Source organism: Homo sapiens, chromosome 5, assembly GCF_000001405.40.
Source record: "Homo sapiens chromosome 5, GRCh38.p14 Primary Assembly".
NCBI classification, from domain to species: domain Eukaryota; kingdom Metazoa; phylum Chordata; class Mammalia; order Primates; family Hominidae; genus Homo; species Homo sapiens.
The window spans coordinates 180131237-180153163 of record NC_000005.10 but is presented as its reverse complement, the minus strand read 5'-3'; the positions used below and the strand labels follow the sequence as shown (position 1 = coordinate 180153163).

The window sequence follows — 21927 nt, the reverse complement described above, 5'->3', positions numbered from 1 at the left end:
TTTAAAGAGCCAGAAACTTTAAATTCCCCACTACCTCCCCTTTAATTGTTCCCATTTTCCCCATTTGGGAGCCAGGCATTTAAGGACTAGAACATTCAAAAGCAGTAACATATGGGGACGTTTATAAAGGTACTGCAATTTCCCTGGGAAAGGTACAGCCTCAAAAAAGACCCAAGAAGACTTACCATTTATACCTTATGCTGATCCCAGTACAGAGGCAACCTATAACTTTTTTTTTTTTTTTTTTTTTTTGAGATGGGGTTTTGCTCTTGTTGCCCAGGCTGGAGTGCAGTGGCGCAATCTCGGCCCACTGCAACTTCCGCCTCTCGGGTTCAAGCAGTTCTCCTGCCTCGGCCTCCTGAGTAGCTGGGATTACAGGCGCTGCCACCACGCCCAGCTAATTTTTTGTATTTTTAGTAGAGACAGGTTTTCTTTCTTTTTTTTTTTTTAATTATACTTTAAGTTCTAGGGTACATGTGCATAACGTGCAGGTTTGTTACATATGTATACATGTGCCATGTTGGTGTGCTGCACCCATTAACTCGTCATTTAACGTTAGGTATATCTCCTAATGCTATCCCTCCCCCCTCCCCCCACCCCACAACAGGCCCCGGTGTGTGATGTTCCCCTTCCTGTGTCCATGTGTTCTCATTGTTCAATTCCCACCTATGAGTGAGAACATGCAGTGTTTGGCTTTTTGTCCTTGCGATAGTTTGCTGAGAATGATGGTTGCCAGCTTCATCCATGTCCCTTCAAAAGACATGAACTCTTCATTTGTTATGGCTGCATAGTATTCCATGGTGTATATGTGCCACATTTTCTTAATCCAGTCTATCATTGTTGGACATTTGGGTTGGTTCCAAGTCTTTGCTATTGTGAATAGTGCCGCAATAAACATATGTGTATCTTAATAGCAGCATGATTTATAACCCTTTGGGTATATACCCAGTAATGGGATGGCTGGGTCAAATGGTATTTCTAGTTCTAGATCCCTGAGGGATCGCCACACTGACTTCCACAATGGTTGAACTAGTTTACAGTCCCACCAACAGTGTAAAAGTGTTCCTATTTCTCCACATCCTCTCCAGCACCTGTTGTTTCCTGACTTTTTAATGATCGCCATTCTAACTGGTGTGAGATGGTATCTCATTGTGGTTTTGATTTGCATTTCTCTGATAGCCAGTGATGATGAGCATTTTTTCATGTGTCTTTTGGCTGCATAAATATCTTCTTTTGAGAAGTGTCTGTTCATATCCTTCGCCCACTTTTTGATGGGGTTGTTTGTTTTTTTCTTGTAAATTTGTTTGAGTTCATTGTAGATTCTGGATATTAGCCCTTTGTCCGATGAGTAGATTGCAAAAGTTTTCTCCCATTCTGTAGGTTGCCTGTTCACTCTGATGGTAGTTTCTTTTGCTGTGCAGAAGCTCTTTAGTTTAATTAGATCCCATTTGTCAATTTTGGCTTTTGTTGCCATTGCTTTTGGTGTTTTAGACATGAAGTCCTTGCCTATGCCTATGTCCTGAATGGTATTGCCTAGGTTTTCTTCTAGGGTTTTTATGGTTTTAGGTCTAACATTTAAGTCTTTAATCCATCTTGAATTAATTTTTGTATAAGGTGTAAGGAAGGGATCCAGTTTCATCTTTCTACATATGGCTAGCCAGTTTTCCCAGCACCATTTATTAAATAGGGAATCCTTTCCCCATTTCTTGTTTTTGTCTGCTTTGTCAAAGATCAGATAGTTGTAGATATGCAGCATTATTTCTGAGGGCTCTGTTCTGTTCCATTGGTCTATATCTCTGTTTTGGTACCAGTACCATGCTGTTTTGGTTACTGTAGCCTTGTAGTATAGTTTGAAGTCAGGTAGCATGATGCCTCCAGTTTTGTTCTTTTGGCTTAGCATTGACTTGGCAATGCGGGGGTCTTTTTTGGTTCCATATGAACTTTAGAGTGGTTTTTTCCAATTCTGTGAAGAAAGTCATTGGTAGCTTGATGGGGATGGCATTGAATCTATAAATTACCTTGGGCAGTATGGCCATTTTCACAATATTGATTCTTCTTACCCATGAGCATGGAATGTTCTTCCATTTGTTTGTATCCTCTTTTATTTCATTGAGCAGTGGTTTGTAGTTCTCCTTGAAGAGGTCCTTCACATCCCTTGCAAGTTGGATTCCTAGGTATTTTATTCTCTTTGAAGCAATTGTGAATGGGAGTTCACTCATGATTTGGCTCTCTGTTTGTCTGTTATTGGTGTATAAGAATGCTTGTGATTTTTGCACATTGATTTTGTATCCTGAGACTTTGCTGAAGTTGCCTATCAGCTTAAGGAGATTTTGGGCTGAGACGATGGGGTTTTCTAGATATACAATCATGTCATCTGCAAACACGGACAATTTGACTTCCTTTTTTCCTAATTGAATACCCTTTATTTCCTTCTTCTGCCTGATTGCCCTGGCCAGAACTTCTAACACTATGTTGAATAGGAGTGGTGAGAGAGGGCATCCCAGAGACAGGGTTTCTCCATGTTGAGGCTGGTCTCGAACTCCTGACCTCAGGTGATCCGCCTACCTCAGCCTCCCAAAGTGCTAGGATTACAGGTGTGAGCCACAGCACCCAGCCAACATTTTTTTTTTTTTAATCCCTGGGGAAGGAGGAGAATCTGATTTCAAGAGTTGCCACATTGCAAGAGTCAAATGTCCAGTTTTCTACAAAATAAATACCACAAGGCATATAAAGAAACAGGAAAACATGGATCATTTGAAGGAAAAATAAGTAAATCAACAAAAACTGTCCCTGAGAAAGACTACATGACAGACTTATTAGACAAAGGCTTTGAAACAACTGTCCTAAAGATGTGCAAAGACGTGAAGTAGCAGTCAAGAAAAAGATGTATGAACAAAATGGAACTATCAATAAAGAGACAGAAAAACATACAAAGGAACCAAAAATAAATTTTGGAGCTATAAAGTACAATAACTGAAATGAAAAATTCACTAGAGGTATTCAAAAGCAGATCTGAGGAGGTCAAAGAAAGAATCAGCAAACTTGAAGATAGGGCAATTGAAATTATTGAGTCTGAGGAACAGGAAAATAAAAAAGATTGAAAAAGTGAACAGAACCTACAGGACCTAAGCAATACCATAAAGCAGACCAACATACACTTTGTGAGAGTCCCAGAAAAAGAAGGGAGAGAAAGGTATAGAGAGATTATCTGAATAATTAATGGCTGAAAACTTCCCAAATTTGATGAAAAACATGAATATAAACATCCAGGAAACCCAGTGAACCAAGTAGGATAAACTCAAAGAGACCCACAGTGAGACACATTATAATCAAACTGGAAAATACAACAACAAATAGAGAATATTGAGAGCAGCAAGAAAGAAGTGAGTCATCACATAAAAGGGGTCCTCGGCTGGGCGCAGTGGCTCACGCCTGTAATCCCAGCACTTTGGGAGGCCGAGGCGGGTGGATCGAGAGGTCAAGAGATGGAGACCATCCTGGCCAACATGGTGAAACCCCATCTCTACTAAAAATACAAAAATTAGCTGGGCGTGGTGGTGCATGCCTGTAGTCCCAGCTACTTGGGAGGCCGAGGCAGGAGAATCGCTTGAACCAGGGAGTTGGAGTGCATTGCAGTGAGCCAAGATTGTGCCACCACACTTCAGCCTGGTGACAGAGCTAGACTCTGTCTCAAAAAACAAAACAAAACAAAACAAAAACTGATCCTCAGTAAGATTATCAAGAAATTTCCCACGGAAACCTTAGAGGCCTTGGCGGGCACAGTGGCTCACACCTATAACCTGTAATCCCAGCACTTTGGGAGGCTGAGGTGGGCAGATCATGAGGTCAGGATATTGAGACCATCCTGGCCAACATGGTGAAACTCCGTCTCTACTAAAAATACAAAAATTAGCTGGGCGTGGTAGTGTGTACCTGTAGTCCCAACTACTTGGGAGGCTGAGGCAGGAAAATCACTTGAACCCAGGAGGCAGAGTTTGCAGTGAGCCGAGATTGTGCCATTGCACTCCAGCCTGGTGACAGAGCAAGACTCTGTCTCAAAAAAAAAAAAAAAAAAGAAAAAAAAAGAAAAGAAAAAGTAGAAAAGAAACCTTAGAGGCCAGAAGGCAATCGGTTGATGTATTCAAAATGCTGAAAGTAAAAAAACCTGTCAACCAAGAATCCTATGTATGGCAAAACTGTCCTTCAAAAATGAGTACAAAGTTAAGACATTCCTAGATAAACAAGAATCGAAGAAAGTCACTACCGCAAGGCCTACCTAGGAGAAATACTAAATGAAGTGCTTCAGGTTGAAATGAAAGACACTAAAGAGTAATTCAAAGCTGTGTTAACAAAAATATCTGGTAAAGATTTATCCATGGGCAATTATAAAAGCTGGTATTATGATAACTGATTTGTAACTCTACCTTTTTTTTACATGATTTAAGAGACTAATACATTAAGAAAATAAGTATTAAGTCTGTGCTTTTGAACATAATAAAAATGTAATTTTGTGACATCAGTAACTAACAGGGTGGGGACAGAACTGTATAGGAGCAGAGTTTTTGAATGCTACTGAAGTTAAACTGGTCTAAATTCAAATTAGAGTGTTGTAACTTTAGGATGTTAAATGTAATTCCCATGGTTGCCACAAAGAAAGTAGCTATAGGATATACACAAAAGGAAACAAGAAAGGAATTAATGTTTCACCACAAAAAAAGAACACAGTACTGCAGGAAATAAGGAACAAAAAGATACAAGGCAATAGAAAAAAAAAAACAGCAAAATGGCAGGAGTAAATCCTGTCTTAACAGTTATTATTTAAAAAGGAAATAGATTACACTCTCTAGTCAAAAGACAAAGATTGGCAGAATGGATTTTTTAAAAAAGATCCAACTATATATTGTCCACAAGAGATTCATTTTAGATCCAAAGTCATAAATAGGTTAAACATGAAGGGACTGAAAAAGATACTCCATGTAAACAGTAACAAAAAGAGAGTGGGAGCAGCCATACTAATAACAGAAAAAATACTTTAAATTTTAAAGGATTACCAGAGACAAAGAAGGGTATCACATATCAATGAAAATTTAATATAGCAAGAAGACTTAACAATTATAAACATTTATGACCCCAAAACAGGTCATTAAAATATATGAAGCAAAAATGGGCAGAATTGAAAGGAGAAATGGACAGCTCTATAGTAATAGTCAGAGACTGCAATACCTCACTCTCCAGTCTAATGCTTTCCCAACTAAGCTATTTCAGCAGCTGCTACCTCACTCTCAATAATGGATAGAATGCCCAGACAGAAGATAAGTAAGGAAATAAAAGACTTACACAACACAATAAGCCAACTAGGTCTAACAGACATATACAGAACTCTACTCAACAACAACATACACAGTCTTCTAAAGTGCACGTGGGATATTCTCCAGGATAAACCATATGTTAGGACACAGATTAAGCCTCAATAAATTTTAAAAGAGAGATATCATATGAAGTATCCTCTCCAACTATGACAGGATGAAATTAGAAATCAATAATAGAAGGAAAACTGGAAAATTCACAAATTTGTGGAAAGTAAACAACACATTCTTAAACAACCTATGCATTGAAGAACAAGTCCCAAGGGAAATTCGAAAATACTTAGAGATGAATGAAAATGAAAACACAACATACTAAAACATGGGATACAGCAAAAACTGTCCTTAATGGAAAATTTATAGCTGTAAACACATTAAAAAAGAAGAAAGATCTCAAAATAACAACCTAATTGTACAATGTAAAGAGCTAGAAAAAGAGGAACAAACTAAACCCAAAGCTAGCAGAAGGAGGGAAATTATAAAGATTAGAGAAGAGATAAATAAAAGAGAATAGAAAAACAATAGAAAAAAATTTAAAAAGCCTAAAGTTGGTTCTTCAAAAAGATTAACAAAATTGACAAACCTTTAGCTAGACTGACTGAAAAAAAAGAGATGACTGAAGTTATTAAAATCAGAAATGAGAGTAGGGATACTATTACCAATTCACATAAATTAAAGGGATTATAAGAGTACTATAAAAAATTATATGCCAACAAATTGGAAATTTGAACAAATTGGAATTTCTAGATGAAATTCCTAGAAACTGAAATCATGAAAAAAAAATTAGAAACCGTAAATAGACCTATAACTAATAATGAGGTTTAATTAGTAATTAAAAGCCTTCCAACAACAAAAAAGTCCTGGACCTGGTGGTTTCACTGGTGAATTCTACCAAACATTTAAAAAAGAACCATCACCAATGCTTCTCAAACTTTTCCTAAAAATTAAAGAGGCAGAAACACTTCCTAACTCATTTTATGAGGTCAGCATCACCTTGATACCAAAGCCAGACAGAAGCACTACAAGAAGTAAACTACAGACCAATATCCCTTATGATGCAAACATCCTCAACAAAATACTAGCAAACCAAGTTCAGCAGCATATTAAAGAAAATTATACACCACAACCAAGGGAGGTTTATTCCTGGAATGCAAAGATGGTTCAACATACGAAAATCAATCAATGTAATACAATAGATTAACATGATGAAGGAAAAAACACATGATCATTTCAATTGATGAAGAAAAAAGCATTAAACAAAATTCAATGCCCTTTCATGACAAAAAAAAAAAGTACTCCAAAAACTGGAATAGAAGGAAACTACCTCAACATAATAAAAGTCACATATGAAAAACACATAGCTGGCCAAGCACAGTGGCTCATGCCTGTAATCCCAACACTTTGAACGGATCACTTGAGCTCAGGAGTTGGAAACCAGCCTGCGCAACATGGTGAAACCGTGTTAAAAGTACCAAAATACAAAATACAAAATGAGCCGGGTGTGGTGGCATGCACCTGTAGTCCCAGCTATTCATGAGGCTGAGACAGGAGAATCACTTGAACCTGGGAGGCAGAGGTTGCAGTGAGTCAAGATTGTGCCACTGCACTCCAGCCTGGGTGACAGAGCCAGACTCCATCTCAAAAAAACATTGGGGGAAAGCTTCATGATATTGGATTGGGCAGTGACTTTTTGGATATGATACCAAAGACACAGGCAACAAAAGACAAAAATAGACGAATTGGACTTCATCAAAATGGAAAACATTTGTGCCTCAAAGGACACTATCAACAAAGTAAAAAGATAACCTACCGAATAGGAGAAGATATTTACAAATCACATAGCTAATAAGGGATTGATATCCAGACTATCTAACAAACTCCTAAAACTCAAAAACAAACAAATCCCAAACAACTCAATTCAAAAATGGGTAAAAGAGGACTCTTGGGGCTAGCTGCCTCATGCCCCTGCAGAGGTCCCAGCAGCAGCCATGCTCGAAGCGTGAGCTCCAGTTCTGTGGGGCTTCTCCTCTGATCTGGGTCTTGAAACGCCACGGCTTCTCTTTTGTTCCTTAAATCTCAGGGGTGGGGTAATTACATCCTGTCACGGAACCAATTCTATGAATTAAATTTTCTTTGCTTGAAAAAAGTGGGGAAAAGTCTTGAACAGGCATTTTTCTAAAGAATATATACAAATGGCAAATGAAAAGATGCTCAAGATCACTGATATTTAGGGAAATGCAAATCCAAACCACAATGAGATACCACTTCCCACCCATTAGGATGGCCATTATCAAAAAAGCAGAAAACAACAAGCATTGTCAAGGATGTGGAGAAATTGGAACCCTTTACATTGCTGTTGGTAATTTTAAATGGTGCAGCGGGCCGGGCACGGTGGCTCACGCCTGTAATCCCAGCACTTTGGGAGGCTGAGGCGGGCAGATCACCTAAGGTCAGGAGTTTAAGACCAGCCTGGCCAACATGGTGAAACCCCATCTCTACTAAAACAAAAATTAGCCGGACACGGTGGTGGCACATGCCTGTAATCCCAGCTTCTTGAGAGGCTGAGGCAGGAGAATCGCTTGAACCCGGGAGGCAGAGGTTGCAGTGAGCTGAGATTGCACCACGGCACTCCAGCCTGGGTGACAGAGTGAGACCGTCTCAAAATAAAAATTAAAATAAAAATAAATAAAATGGTGCAGCTGCTGTGGAAAACAGTATGGTAAAGGGGGAAACAACCCCCACTGCCCACTGACAGATGAATAGATGAACAAAATATGGTATGTGCATGCAGTGGAACAGTATTCAGCCTTAAAAAGGAAGGAAATTCTGACGCATGTTACAACAGTGGTGCACCTTGACAAAGATGAATGAAATACGCCAGTCACTGAAGGACAAATGTTTTATGATTCCACTTATATAAGGTACCCAGAATGGTAAAAATACATAGAATGTAGAACTGTGGTTACCAGGGGCTGGGGAAGGAGAGGAGGAGAAATTGGGGAGTTAGTGTTTACTGGGTACAGGGTTTCAATTGATGATGAAAAACTTCTGTGGACGGACGGTGGTGATGCTTGTGCAACAGTGTGAATGTACTTAATGCCACTGAACTTTACACGGTAAATTTATGTTAAGTATATTTTTTTAATTTTTATTTTTTTGGTAGAGGCAGGGTCTTGCTCTGTCACCCAGGCTGGAGTGCAGTGGTGCAGTCACAGCTCACTGCAGCCTTGAATTCCTGGGCTCAAGCAATCCTCCCATCTCAGCCTCCCAAGTAGCTCGGACTACAGGTGTGTGACATTACGTCAACCTAATTTTTAAAAACTTTTTCTAGAGATGAGGGTCTCACTGTGTTGCCCAGGCTGGTCTCAAACTCTTGAGAATGTGTAAATGTGTAAAATTCTGCACATATTCAAGCAAGGGCAGAAAGGGCTCTGATTTGGGGCCGTGGACCCACCACAGCCTTTGAGGCTAAAGCAGTGGGACCATTTCCAGCAGCTGTTGGGACGTGGTTTCAGCTGCAGGGCTGGATGGGCAGGTAGAGGGTCGCCCCAGCTGCAGCCAGCACAGAAGCCATGGGGAACCATGGCGGTGCAGTTGGCAAGTCTTTTTGGCACACACAGAGCCTTGGTTAACAGCAGTTGCTGCCTGTGTTGTGGTCTGGCCCTAGCAGGTGGCGAGCTCCCCGTGGCGAGTGCTGGCCTTGGGGGTCCTTTCTCCACAGCAGGCACTGTGCGAGGTACTTCGTGCACCAGTCTCCATAACCTGAAGAGGGGGACTGCTCCCTCTTCTCAGAGCTCACAGGTGTCTTCCTGAGACACGCGCGTGGTCCTCACAGGGGCCTTCGGGAGCCTTCTTTACCTCTGTCCCTTCTGCCACACCTGGCCCAGGGAGAACATCCCTCCAGCCCCCAGGACGCGCTCTGACCAGCCACCTGCTTTTCTTCTGCAAGTTCGATGGATTTCCATTTTGCAGATGTTTAATGCCAGCCACCCATGCTGAGGGATGTGGGGACCCCAGCAGGAACAGGGTCTGTAAACTGACCACCTTGGCACTACAGATGTCATTTCTAACTGTGCTTTAACTCACTGTGTGGCCCCATCAGTGGCTTTTTAAAAAAATAGAATTAATTGCCACCCTTACAATCACAATATGAAACGTAAGTCAGGAGTCCTGGATGTCCTGGATGACTTTTACACCAGGAAGGTCTGAGCACGCCAGCTCCCAGAGCACAGCAGAGCTTGTGGGTTTTCACTGGTACAGCCGGCCCACCTTCTGCCAGCCCCACGCTGAGGAGGAACAGCAGGGCCCTTGGGCACGTTTTCAACTGGCTGGGGGCAGGTGACCATTACCTCTTTCCAGCACCCACTGGAATAGCAGGAGAATGCACATCCATCTTCAGGGCTGGCCTTCCTTATAAACGCACCACATGGTGCCCCTGTCCCTGCACACATTTCCCGTCTCCCATAGAGGGGTTGGGCTGGGGCCATGCTGTCCCAGAAACTTTGCCAGCGCCAGCGGCCTGGAGCAGGGTGGGCCCTGAGCCTGTCAGTGAGGCCTCCAGAAGGAAGGATGCCCAGCTGGGTGCTGGCAGGCATCAGAGTGCCCCCCTGCAGGGTGGCACGTGGGATCCTGTCCCCTGTCTGCCTGTCTCTCTGCAGACCTGACCCCACACAATCCTCGCCTGCTGTCTCTTGAACTGCTGCAGGAGCCCCAGGACCTCCAGGTGCAGGGCCTGGAGACACACACAAGGAGAGATGCCTGAGGGGCTGGGGGCCAGGCAGTGGGACAGGAGCCATGGAGAGGGAAACCGAGGCAGAAGCTCATGCCTCAGCCACTTGGGGCTGTGTGCCAGAGCCAGGCATTTCCTCTCAGTGTCCTGTCAGTGCCCTTGCCACAGCGGGGGCACGTGCCCCCAGCCTCACCATTCCAGGCCTGGAATCAGTTCAGGTGTTCCCAGAGCCATCCTCTGATGAGTGGACTTCAGCTTGGACGAATGACTCTAAAACGATGGGGTGCGAGGAGGGCACAGCAGCGACTCATTTCTCAGGGCCTCACTGCAGTCTTCATCCACGTGAATGTCATTCCCACCATCCGCACCTTTCTCTCCTGCTGTTTTCCCCTCCTTGTGCCACACTGTTTTCTGTGTTATGACCGTGTGTTCAGAACCATCACTGCAGCGGCCACAGCCACTCCGCCAGTGCGTCTGTGCACCTCCCCGTCCATGCTCCCTTTGTTTGCCATCTGTGCTGCTCGAGAGTGTTCGCTGCTGGGATTTAATGCTGAAGCAAGGGCCTTTCTTTCCACAGCTTGTCCCCTTTATTTTCTCAGGATACATTTCCAAGGCTTTGATTAGGATGAAAGGACGCTATAGAACATAACGCTCTTGGTACATTGAGCCAAATCTTGGTACAATTAAAGGGACCATGACAACGCATACCACCCCTCCCCGCAGTGGTGTGTAAGGGGCTGCCCTTGCATGCCTGCCAGCACTGGGCATTTAATTAAGTCTCATTCATTTCATGGGTAGGAAGCGGAACCCCACGGGAGCAGCCACACCGTGCATATATCTAGTTCACACACACCGAGCCCCACGTCCCAACGAGGCAGACAGAGGGAGAAATGGAAAGGTCTCTCTACAGGGTACGAGCAGAACGTTCCCCATCCATGCTGAGCCCCTCATGCTGACAGCCCATCTATGCAGCCCCCAAGACTCCCAGCCCCTTTGTCACGTGCATCATTCAGGCCACGTGCACAAAACACAGATGGGAGACTTAACAGTGATTTCAAGACTTCTGAGAGATATTGTAACAATAAACAATTGTCCCATCATCACTGCCTTTTTTAAAAAGTGTGATATGAGGTCAGGAGATCGAGACCATCCTGGCTAACATGGTGAAACCCCGTCTCTACCAAAAATACAAAAATTAGCTGAGTGTGGTGGTGGGCACCTGTAATCCCAGCTACTTGGGAGGCTGAGGCACGAGAATCCCTTGAACCTGGGAGGTGGAGACTGCAGTGAGCAAAGATCGTGCCACTACACTCCAGCCTGGTGAGACTCTGTTTAAAAAAAAAAAAAAAAAAGTGTGATAAAATACACATAACATAAAATGTATCATTTTAACCCTTTTTAAGTGACAGTTCAGTGACATTAAGTACCTTCATATCGTGGTGGAACTGTCACCTCCATCCCTCTCCAGAAATCTTTTCTTCTTCACAAGTGACACTCTGTTCTCCTGTCCCACCCCCAGCCCCTGGCACTCGCCGTCCCACCGTCTGCCTCTGTGAACGTGATGACTGTAGGTGCCTCCACAAGTGGGGTCACTCAGTGTTTGTGCTTCTGTGTCAGGCTCATTTCACTTAGCATGACGTCCTCAAGGTCATCCGTGTTGCCGCAGGCTCAGAACCTCCTTCCTCTCTGAGGCTGACTCCTGCCCCACTGTGTGGAGAGGCGTTTTCTCCATCCATTCGTCACTGATGGACGCTTGGGCTGCTGCCTCATTTCTTTTTAAAAATTATTTGTGGACATCCAAACAATGGAATATTGTGAGGCAATTTTTATAAAAATGAATGAGGCAGCCCTGCCCTGCCATGGAAAGGTCCTCAAAACGCATTGTTAGTGAAGAAAGCCCAGTGCGGGGGAGTGTGGACAGTATGCTACCTTTTTGTGTAATACAGACAGAAAAGGGGTTATGTGTTTACATGTCCTTGTCTTTGCGTAAAGAAGCTACAGAAAGACTAGAAACTAATAAAAGCGTCACTTACAGGTGGAGCGAGGGACCCTCGTTACATGGCTGTTTTTGCACACAAGGAACGTGATGCTCTGATCACTCTGCACACTCCCTGACCCCAACTCAGTCACTCCCCACTACACTTCCAGGAGCCACTGCCTGGCTCCTGACACCTAAGCATATACTCCCATGATCACACCACGTTGCCCCCCGCTCCGCCGAGCCTCTGCACATGCTGGTCAGTCTGTCTGGCATGTCTCTCTGCCGATTGCATCCTGCCGTCAGCCCTCAGTGCAGCCACCCTCACCCAGCCCATTCCAGGCAGGCTGGAGCTCCTGCTGGAGGGAGGAGGAGCTGGCTGTCCCTGGCGGATGGAGGAGCAGCAGTGTCCTCTGTGTCCCCAGCTGTCCTCATGCAGAGGCCAGAGGTGGGCACCTGGCCTGTCTGCACCAGCACGCCTGCAGGGAGGGGTGGGAGTGGTGGGGGAGCCCGCTGGTAGCAGCAGCTCTGACCTCACCTTCTCTTAGGGGCCAGGACATCCACCGCAGTGAGCACAGAGAGTGGTCACCCCCTTTCCCTCACAGCACGCCTCCCGTGGGGCAGTCTCTGCACAGCTCTGCCTCCCTTACCAGCTCCCTGAGGTCGGGCTTTGTCCCCATTGCCTGGAATGGAGCCAGGAGTCACCCCATGCATACACGCATGAATGGATGACCCTTGGCAACCACAGGAAAAAACTGAAGGCTGCGGCACAAGGATAAGCCCATTCATTGAGACCCAGACCTGGACCCAGCTGGTGATACGATGGGTGATTGGAGGTCGGAGGACCACTGGCAGCCCAGCCCCTCTCTGGGCATCCCTGTGGGTCACAATAGTTCAGCAACCACCACCACCCCTGGCTCCAGCGAGAGCTAGTCGCTCCAGAGCAGAGCTGGATCTGAACACTGCTCCCACCTCCCATGTGCCCAGCACCTGGGTCCAGGCCAGGCCCCAGGTCCCCTGGGAGCCTCCTGGCTGTCTCTTTAAAGTGGCAGCCTCCTGGCCTCCTTCAGAAAGGCCCCTGCATGGCACCTCCCACCATCCTGCAGAGGCTTCCAGAGCCACCTCCACCCTTGCCACTGGCTTGTCAAGAAAATGGGGCTGGGATCTGGGGCAGGCCCAGCGTTGCAGGGTGAACAGGTGCCAGGTGTCCAGCAGGAGACAACGGACCTCCCAGGCTCACAGGTTTTCTATCTTGTGGAATCAGGCTGAGCTGCCGGGCCCTGGGCAGGAGGCAGAGCAGCGTGCACCCTGCAGCCGGCCCATCCCGCAGCTGTCCCCCTCCCACTGAGCATGTGCAGCTTCCTGCATGCCCACCTGCTCAGCCGCCTCCCCCTGGGACAGACAGGAGGTGATTTTGTGAAATTTTACGGTTTCATTGGCTGAAAATTGAACACTTACAGCATTGTCAGGGAGGCGAAAATAAGCTGTCTGTCACCATGGCCAGGACTGTCTGGGCTGCTGTCCACACCAATGCCTGAGCCCTTCCCATGCTGTAACCCAGTCCCAGCACCTCCCACACCCACATGGCCACGGGACAGCCCTCTGAGGGGCTCCCTCTGATCCCCAGTGTCAGCTCTGACCCACCACGTCCCTCTGTCTCTACTCCCAGGGCAGGGTCACTCAGAGTGCTGCAAAGGAGAAATAGGCCAGGGTCAGGGTTTGCCATCGGGGCAGCAAGGACGGCATGAGCAGGGGAGCCTCAGAGTCCATAGAAGACCCTGCAGTGAGCTGGCAGGACTCCACGATCAAGAATGTAGGGGCTGTCTAAACAGTCACAGGTTTAGCCAGGATGCGTCACTGTGAGGGCTCCTGGGCTTTCAAGGAAGACTGGCCTAGAGGGGTAAGTGGAAGAGCTTCTGAGAGTAAGCATGGGCTCCCTGCAGGTGGGTATGGACACCTGCTGCTGCCAGGCCCGTCACTCAGAGCAGGGTCACAGAGGATGTGCTCTGGCCTCTGCCTGGAGGTTTGGGTAGAGAAGACACTGTAACGGCTGCAGCTGGCCTTTCCCTGTGCCAGGTACTGACAGCAGCACCCAGGCACCCAACAAGGCTGACAAGCAGAATCTGCTGATGCCCACCAGAGGTCAGGTGCAGCCTTGGTGGGACGCAGGGAAGGCTTCACCGAGGACGAGGCATTTCAGCCATACCTGGAGGGATAGGGGAGTGAAGATGGTGGGAGAGCCTTCCTGCAGGAGGGAACGGCATGTGCAGTGGTTCAGAGTTGGAGAAGGCATTTGGAGGAGAGAACGTGGCTGGTGCCAAGAGCAATGGGGTGTGATAGGCGGTGAGGATGGACAGGTCAGCTAGTCCAAATCACAAAGAGCCCAGAATGCCAGGTTAAGGAGGACAGCAGTTTTGACTGTACCTGAGAGAACCCCAACTTAAAGAGGCACATGTGATGGAGAAGTCCATGGAGCAGCTTCTGTGCTCAGCACAGCGACACTGTGCTCAGGAATGTGCCCACTTTCCTGCCACAATGGCCCCAGTAGCGTCGGGCATACATTCCACCAGCTCAAGGACTCCAGGGGGAAAGAAAGCCTCCAAGTGCCACATAAGTTCTGGGATTGCAGCTGAGCCCCCCTAATTTGGATGGGGCCAATCCCTGAACCAATCTTTGTGGCCAGAAGCAGGGGGATTAGGCTGATTATCCAGGCTTGTGAAAAACAACCTTCGTGGAGGGGTGCCGGGGGGAAGAATCTAGAAGAGGCCTGCCCCTGAGTGGGGCAAGAGGAGTAGACAAGAGATGGGTCCTGCAGGAGAGTTGAGAGGCCATGAGAAGACGGAGAATGAAGGCTGTGCTGTGAGGAAGGGGCCCTGACAATACTCCCAGGAAGTGACCACTGGACTCAAGCTGGCACAAAGTGGCTGTGGGGGGAGCCTGCCCAGCCAGGAGCCCCGGGACCAGCAGCTCCCACTCAGGTGCACCCAACTCAGGTGTGCCCCCACTCAGGTCCTCACTGCTCCTTGCCATTGCAGGCAGACATGCCACAGACGCTGAGTGCCTCCGACATGGTCACCCCAGGCAGCCTCAGCCCACCCCCCACCGAGCCCACAGATGGCGAACAGGCTGGGCAGCCCCTCCTGGATGGAGCGCCATCCTCAGCCTCCCTGGAAACACTGATCCAGCACCTGGTGCCCACAGCCGACTACTACCCCGAGGTGGGTGATCCACCCAGCGGGCAGGAGAGTGGGCTCTCCTCCACCACGCACGGGGGGCATCAGGGTTGGGCGTGACCTTGGGCCAGGGTACAGGGCCAGCTGGGAAGCATGCCCCTCCTGGTGCCCTCCTGAGCCTGTGCCCTCTTTCTCGTGTGTCCCCCAGAAAGCCTACATCTTCACCTTCCTGCTGAGCTCTCGCCTCTTCATCGAGCCCCGGGAGCTCCTGGCCCGGGTCTGCCACCTGTGCATCGAGCAGCAGCAGCTGGACAAGCCGGTGCTGGACAAGGTGAGGCGGAGGGCAGGCCAGGGGGTCTCAGAGTGTACCAGCACTGCCCTGCCATGCCCTCAACGCATCAGCCTCTCGGGGAGGCAATGATTGTCCCCGTTTTCCTGACAAGGTGGCTACCGGGTGTTTCCACCTTGTCTGAGGCCCAGAGCCAGAAGGAGCAGAACAGGACCTTTAACCTCCATGTAGTTTTCCAGTGCCCGACGGGAACCCTTGAGCCCATTAAGCCCAGACCTGAGTATCCGGAGCCCGGTCAGTAGGACCCATCTGTGGCCGGGAGGGCCTGCTGCCTCTGGTGGGCTTCCTTCCCCCAGCACATCCGCTCCACCTTCCCAGTCCTGGCCGGGTCCTGCGGGCTGCCTCTATTGCACACGCGTCGGTAGGGCTCTACCGCTAGTGGGAGAGACCCAACTTCAACCCGCCTGAACCAAAAGGACTTAGCTGGCCCGTGTACCTGCCCTATCTCAGGGACCGCTGGCTCGGGCCTCACACCACAGCACTGCACCGTGGCCTGTCTCCCTCCCGCCCTCTGCTGCCGCTTCCCGGGGCTGGCCTCCCTCGGGCTGGCTGGTGTGGCGCTTGGCCGCCTCCACCGCACCAGGCTCACCTACCACCCTTTCCGGTCACGTGGAAGCCTCAATTCCTTTTCTCTACTGGCCCAGTGAGTCTCCTCATTGGCGTATCCTAGGTCACGTGGCCACCTGTGAGCCAATCACTGTGCACGATGGCGTATGCCTGCTCTGATTGGTCGGCACAGACCTAGACCCACCCCTGGGGCAGGGTCCCCTGCTCTGAGGACTCCCCACTCCCCGCAGCGCGAAGACTCACCAGGGAGGATGGAGCCGTCAACCGCAGAAAGGCCAGAGCAAGAGATGGCCCTGCCCAGAAATGTGTCCGTCCCCCCTCCTCTCCCCGTGGGCGCAGAGCAGGATCGCACCCCCCTCCTCCTCCCTGGCACAGAGAGGGCACGAGGCCCTGCCTGCCCCGGGCGGCCAGACCCGCAAGGACGCGCAGTGAGGCTCACGTGCCCACCCGGCGCCCCTCACGAGCGCGGTGCCCCTCGCTTGCCCGTAGGCCCGGGTCCGGAAGTTCGGCCCCAAACTGCTGCAGCTGTTGGCCGAGTGGACCGAGACCTTCCCAAGGGACTTCCAGGAAGAGTCGACTATCGGGCACCTTAAGGACGTCGTGGGCCGCATCGCCCCCTGTGACGAGGTGGGCAGCTGGGCGGGGGTCGCGTCACCCTGGGTCCCTCCCGTCCCAGGCCTGCGCCTGTTCCCGGCCCGCACCCCAGGGCCCTCATCTCCCCACCCTGCACACCACGGCCCGTCCAAATCCAGCCGCTTTCTGGCCTATCAAGGAATCAGGCACTGCCGAGCTGGGAGGGAACGCGGAGTCTGGTGACCTCTCCCTGACTGCTCTCACCAATGGCATCAGATGGCGGGTGAGGGGGGACCCATTCCTGGGCTTTTGGGGCCAGGTGGCCAGGCTGTTGGCCTCTGACCTACTAGGCGGGGCTGGCAGAGCCCTGTCCTGGGCCTTGGCCACGGAGACCTACCCCCTCCTGCCCCTGCCCCACTTCCCGTGCAAGAAGGGCTGGGCTGGTTGTCAGTGCTGCTAGGCAGGGACCTGCAAATCAGGGCCAGGGAAGAGTGTCTACAGGATGAACAAAAAAACAGTAGCAAGGAAAATGGCCACATCTGTCCAAACAGATTTTCCTGAGATCCTCTCTGCCTCCACGGGTAAGCTGCAAACCTTCAGGGTAGGGGCAGAGGAGGGGACAAGACCTCCCCCTGCAGTTAAACCACACCAGGTAAACACGGCCCTTGCCCTCAGGAACCCCAGCGGCTTGGGAGGCCTTAGGTGTGCTGGGCATCAAGTGCTGCTGTGGCCCACACCTGCTTTGCTCTCCCAGCTGTGTTACTCTGAGGAGAACACTGAAGGGTCTCCAAGCCTCACTTCCCTTATGGGCGAAAGGAGGACAAAAATCTTCACCTCCCAGGATTATGGAGCTAGACGTCTCCTGGTGTGTTTAGAAGGGGCAAGTTTATCAGCATCCCAGGGCGCCACTGTGGGCAGCACTGGTGTAGCATTACCTGGAAGGGGGAAACGTGGGCGGGGGCACATGTTGACCGTCCTGGAAGGAAATGGAACATGGCAAGCTGGTAGCTGGTGACATGCCGCAGAGTAGGTCTGGACATGGCAGAAGAGCTGTGTGTGAGAAAAGGGAAAACTGCCAAGACAGGCTGGGCAACAGGAAGCCAAACGCCCACAGCAGACATCACTCAGGCTCTGAGGGAGGCACTGCCCGGGGTCACTTCACACAGCAGGCAAGTGACTCAGAACTGAGCAGGCAAGTTCTGAGGCTCAGTGAGGTGAGAGTGGTTTCCTCTTCCTCCTCCCCACACTTCTCCCCTCCTCTGTTCTGCTCCTCATGGCCTCCTCTCCCTCCTCCGCATCCCCTAATCCATCTCGAGATTGTGACATTTGGCTTAGGATGCAGCACAGAACAGGGCCAGGGAACAGTTGATGATTGGACGGGGGGGGTGGGGACAGCGGAAACGGGATGGGGTGCTGGCTGGCCGGCTGGGAAGACATTTGGCTACTTTTATAGATGAATGTGGGAAAGAATAGGTGACTGGGTAATTGGATAGGCAGGTGGATGCATGGGGTAAGTGGATGTGGAAAGATTAATGGAAAGAAGAGAGGGAGAAATGTAGGAAGGGTGGACAGGTGGGTGGGTGGATGGGTGAATGCTAGAAAGGAGGAAGCAAGGGTAGATGCGTGAATTGACAGTTCTGTTGGGGGGTTGGGGGTCACTGTAAAAGAGGTGGGTGATAGCAGCTGGGTGAAGAGATGGGGACAGGTGGATGGGGATGGATGAGTGAAAGTGAATGGTGGACCGATGGGTAGGCAAGTGGATTTGTGAGTGGGCAGATGTTAGAAGGAAGGAAGGGGAGAGGAGTGAACTGATGGATCTGGGGTGGGTCACTGTATAAAAGGGGAGGTGGGTGGTAGCACGTGGCTGGAGAAGAGGTGAGTGTGGGGATGGTGGGTGCTGGGTGGATGGTCTACAGGGGGTGAGACCCCAGTCTCCTGTTTTGTTCTCTTTGACCACCAAGGGTCAGCAGTGAGGTCTGTCCTATGACCAGGCAGATTTGTCCTGCCCGATGTTGGAGCCATGTCTTGGTGGTGGGGCTGGGGTAAGCCCTGGCCTGGTTCCCCTCGGGAAACTAGTAGCACCTATCCACCTGGAGAACGCACAGGTCTGTCACCAGGCTGTGTAGTGTGGACTGGAATAGGAGTTCCCCAGTCCCAACCTAGGCCCCGGCCAGTAGTGCTTCCCCATGTCTCTGGTGACCTCAAGTTGCCCTTCCACAAAAAAGCATGCACCCCAAAGAGGACCTTCTCTGGGCACTGCCTCTCCTCACTGGGCGCTGCTGTGGACTGTGGGTTGTTCCCCTCCTGGCGCAGAATGGTTTGGGATGGAAGAGCCCTGGAGCAGACTGATGAGGCAGGGCCTGGGACCCAGCTTGAGCCCACCCAGATCCGGACTGGGAAACCACAGCTGCGTGACCTCAAGCAAGGTGCTTTGCCTCTCTGAGCCAGTTTCCCTATCGGTAAAACAGGATAATACCTGTCCCCACCACACAGCTTTGCAGCGGGGAGTCCCTGAAGTCAGGTGTGTGCTTGCTTCAGCACTCACTAAATGAGGGCTGTGAGGAGAACAGATGCTTCCCCAAATCAGGCATAGGAGCGCTGTTTCTTAAGTTTTACAGAACTTTCCTTGTGAAACATTTCAAACATACAAAAGTGAAGAATGGTTACCATGCACTCCTCTGTCCTCATCACCCAACTCCAACAATATTTTGCCGAACTGGTTTGTCCTGTCCTCACACACATTTTGCTTTCCCACAAGTTAGCTGTAAGCAAACCATAGACATAGGCTTTGCTTCCAAAATATTTCGGCATTATCTTTTTGAAAGATTTCTCACACAAGGGTGGGGTGGAATAAAATGATAGAAAGTGCTGTGTGCAAGATATTGAGGTGAGCACGGGTCTTTTCAGAGCTGTGTGTCTTTGGGCAAGTTACTTAATCTCTCTGGGCCGTGTCTTTCTGTAAAAGGGAGGGTGATCATTCTTCCCTCACAGGGCTGTGAGGGAACCACAGAGCTCAGGGCTGCAGAGGAGACAGCAGTGGGCTCCCCATCAGAGTGACAGTGAAAGGTGGCACCTTCCTCTTTCCCCCGCCCACTCCCATGTCGTCGCTGTGCTCCACACCAGCTCTCGGCAGCTGGAGCAGCACTGGAGAGGGACTGAGGAGGCCATTCTCCATGACCGTGGTTCTGGGGAGTCCCGGGAAGCCTTCCCAGCATCGGGCCACCCTGTGCTAGGCAGCAGACCCAGAGGAGTGTCATGGCAGCCCAGCCTTTGTGGGGCTCCCGGTAGGTTGGACGCAGTAGTTAGAGCTCAGGGAGGCCAGTGCCAAGGCTGAAGGAGGCTCAGGGAGCCAGGGAGGACCCCAGTGCTCTGGCCATACCCACTGGGCCGGCCACAGAGGAGGCCGACTCAACAGGCAGCCCCTCTCCGAGGACTGGTCTTGCTTTTTTTTTTTTTTTTTTTCTGAGACGGAGTCTCTCTCTGTCACCCAGGCTGGAGTACAGTGGCGTGATTTGGCTCACTGCCACCACCACCTCCTGGGTTCAAGCAATTCTCCTACCTCAGCCTTCTGAGTAGCTGGGATTACAGGCGTGCGCCACCACGCCCAGCTAATTTTTGTGTTTTTAGTAGAGACAGGGTTTCACTATGTTGGCCAGGCTTGTCTCGAACTCCTGACCTCGTGATCTGCCCGCCTCGGCCTCCCAAAGTGCTGGGATTACAGGCATGAGCCACCGCGCCCGGCCTGGTCTTGCTTTCTAACTCGCCCACACGGACTGTCTGGGGAACTGACCACTGCCCTGTGAGGCTCCCTCTGTGGCAGAGGTGGCAGAAAGCTGACATAGAGGACAAACCAATGGAGGGAGCAGACCCCTAGGAGCCTCACGAGCTCCTGCGTCGGCTTTCTGCCACCTCTGCCTGTTATTCAGTAGGCAGGAGGACATCAGCCCTAGGCTGGCTCAGGAGGGAGTCTCCTAGAATTTCAGAGAACAAAGGCCAGTGCTCATCTAGCCTCACCTGGTCAGGGACAGGGGTTCCAGCTGTGAAATGCCCAGTCCAAGAGAGCTTGGAGGCACCTGGAGAGCCGTGGCTGCCGCCCAGGCCACCGTCGGACGACTCCGCATTCACACCCGGCTCTATGCACGCAGCAGATGGCTTGTGGAAATAGAAGGAAACGTGGCTCCAGACCACCCAGCCTCCCGGGCAGCCTCCCAACTATGATCAGTGCGGAGAGAGGGCTTCAGCCCGAGGCAGGAGGGGCAAAGTGCTGCTCCACCCCAGCACGGCCTGGTGCTTCATAAACATGGACCCACGATAGTGACGAGGGGATGCCTTGACATGCTCGGTGGTTCAGGTCTCTGGCCCTGCCCTTATCTACCAGCGAGATCTCCAAGCTCCTATCCACGAGTGTGGAGAAATCAGTGAGAAAATGAGAGGAGGCCAAGGAGCAGGGCAGATAGCATAACCACACTCAGAGGGGGCATAGAAGAGTCAGGAAAGAACAAACAAGCTAGAACCTAACATCACTGGAAAAATCGAAATAAATTAGCAAGCAGGAAAGGATGATTATTTGGAATGAATATTGGTTCATTCAACAGTAACAAATCTTGCTAAAGTATCTGTGTTTTTAAAAAATAAGGCAATCTCGTGGCCCTATCAAGGGGTAGGCACAGACACCCTGCAGCCTTGATTTTGGCACGGGCCTGCAGTCCGCCCTGACACCCTGCTGGAGAGAGCGTCTGACTGTCAGCAGGTGAAGGCGGTGTTTATCCACGCATTCAGCAGACGCTGGTGGACACCTCCTGTGAGCCAGCTACGGCCCTTCATGAACACAGGGCAGCCCGCAGTTGGCTGTGTGGAGCTTGTGGTCCAGGGAGAGGAGATGCACGTGAACAGAATCATTTCCCTGACAGCTCTAAAAGTGGTGTGGCAGAAGGGCTCACAGCACTGAACACCAATGGCCCATCTGGGGAAACAGCACTTGAGCTTCGGTCCAGTGGATGAGGAGAACGTGCCAGAAGGGAGAAAGCTGTCCAGATCCTGCCGGGGACATGGGGAGTGGGGACATGGGGAGGGTGGGAAGGAGTCAAAGGGGCGGAGGAGTGACCTGTGTCCAGAGCACAGAAGGGGAGCAAGGGCGCATAGAGGCCACCAAGCCTGGCCAGAGCTGACCTCGGAGCCTCAGAGTCACGCCAGGG

At 50.1% G+C, this 21927-nt stretch overlaps 1 protein-coding gene across 1 annotated transcript in view, besides 1 other annotated feature; it reads left to right on the top strand.

The window, feature by feature from the left end:
- Window positions 1-21927, top strand: part of RASGEF1C (RasGEF domain family member 1C) — a 108417-nt gene that overhangs the window by 56048 nt on the left and 30442 nt on the right. Inside the window, exons 2-4 of the mRNA NM_175062.4 lie at window positions 15106-15288; window positions 15452-15574; window positions 16649-16786. Of these exons, the coding sequence (NP_778232.2) occupies window positions 15112-15288; window positions 15452-15574; window positions 16649-16786 (438 nt within the window). The 5' untranslated portion in view covers window positions 15106-15111. The remainder of the gene's footprint in view (window positions 1-15105; window positions 15289-15451; window positions 15575-16648; window positions 16787-21927) is intronic.
- Window positions 15616-16115: an enhancer, noted in NCBI's record as "H3K4me1 hESC enhancer chr5:179564049-179564548 (GRCh37/hg19 assembly coordinates)". NCBI's record gives its function as "activates a minimal SCP1, AML or CMV promoter by ChIP-STARR-seq in primed H9 embryonic stem cells {active_cell/tissue: H9 hESC(primed)}" and the evidence as "EXISTENCE:reporter gene assay evidence [ECO:0000049][PMID:30033119]".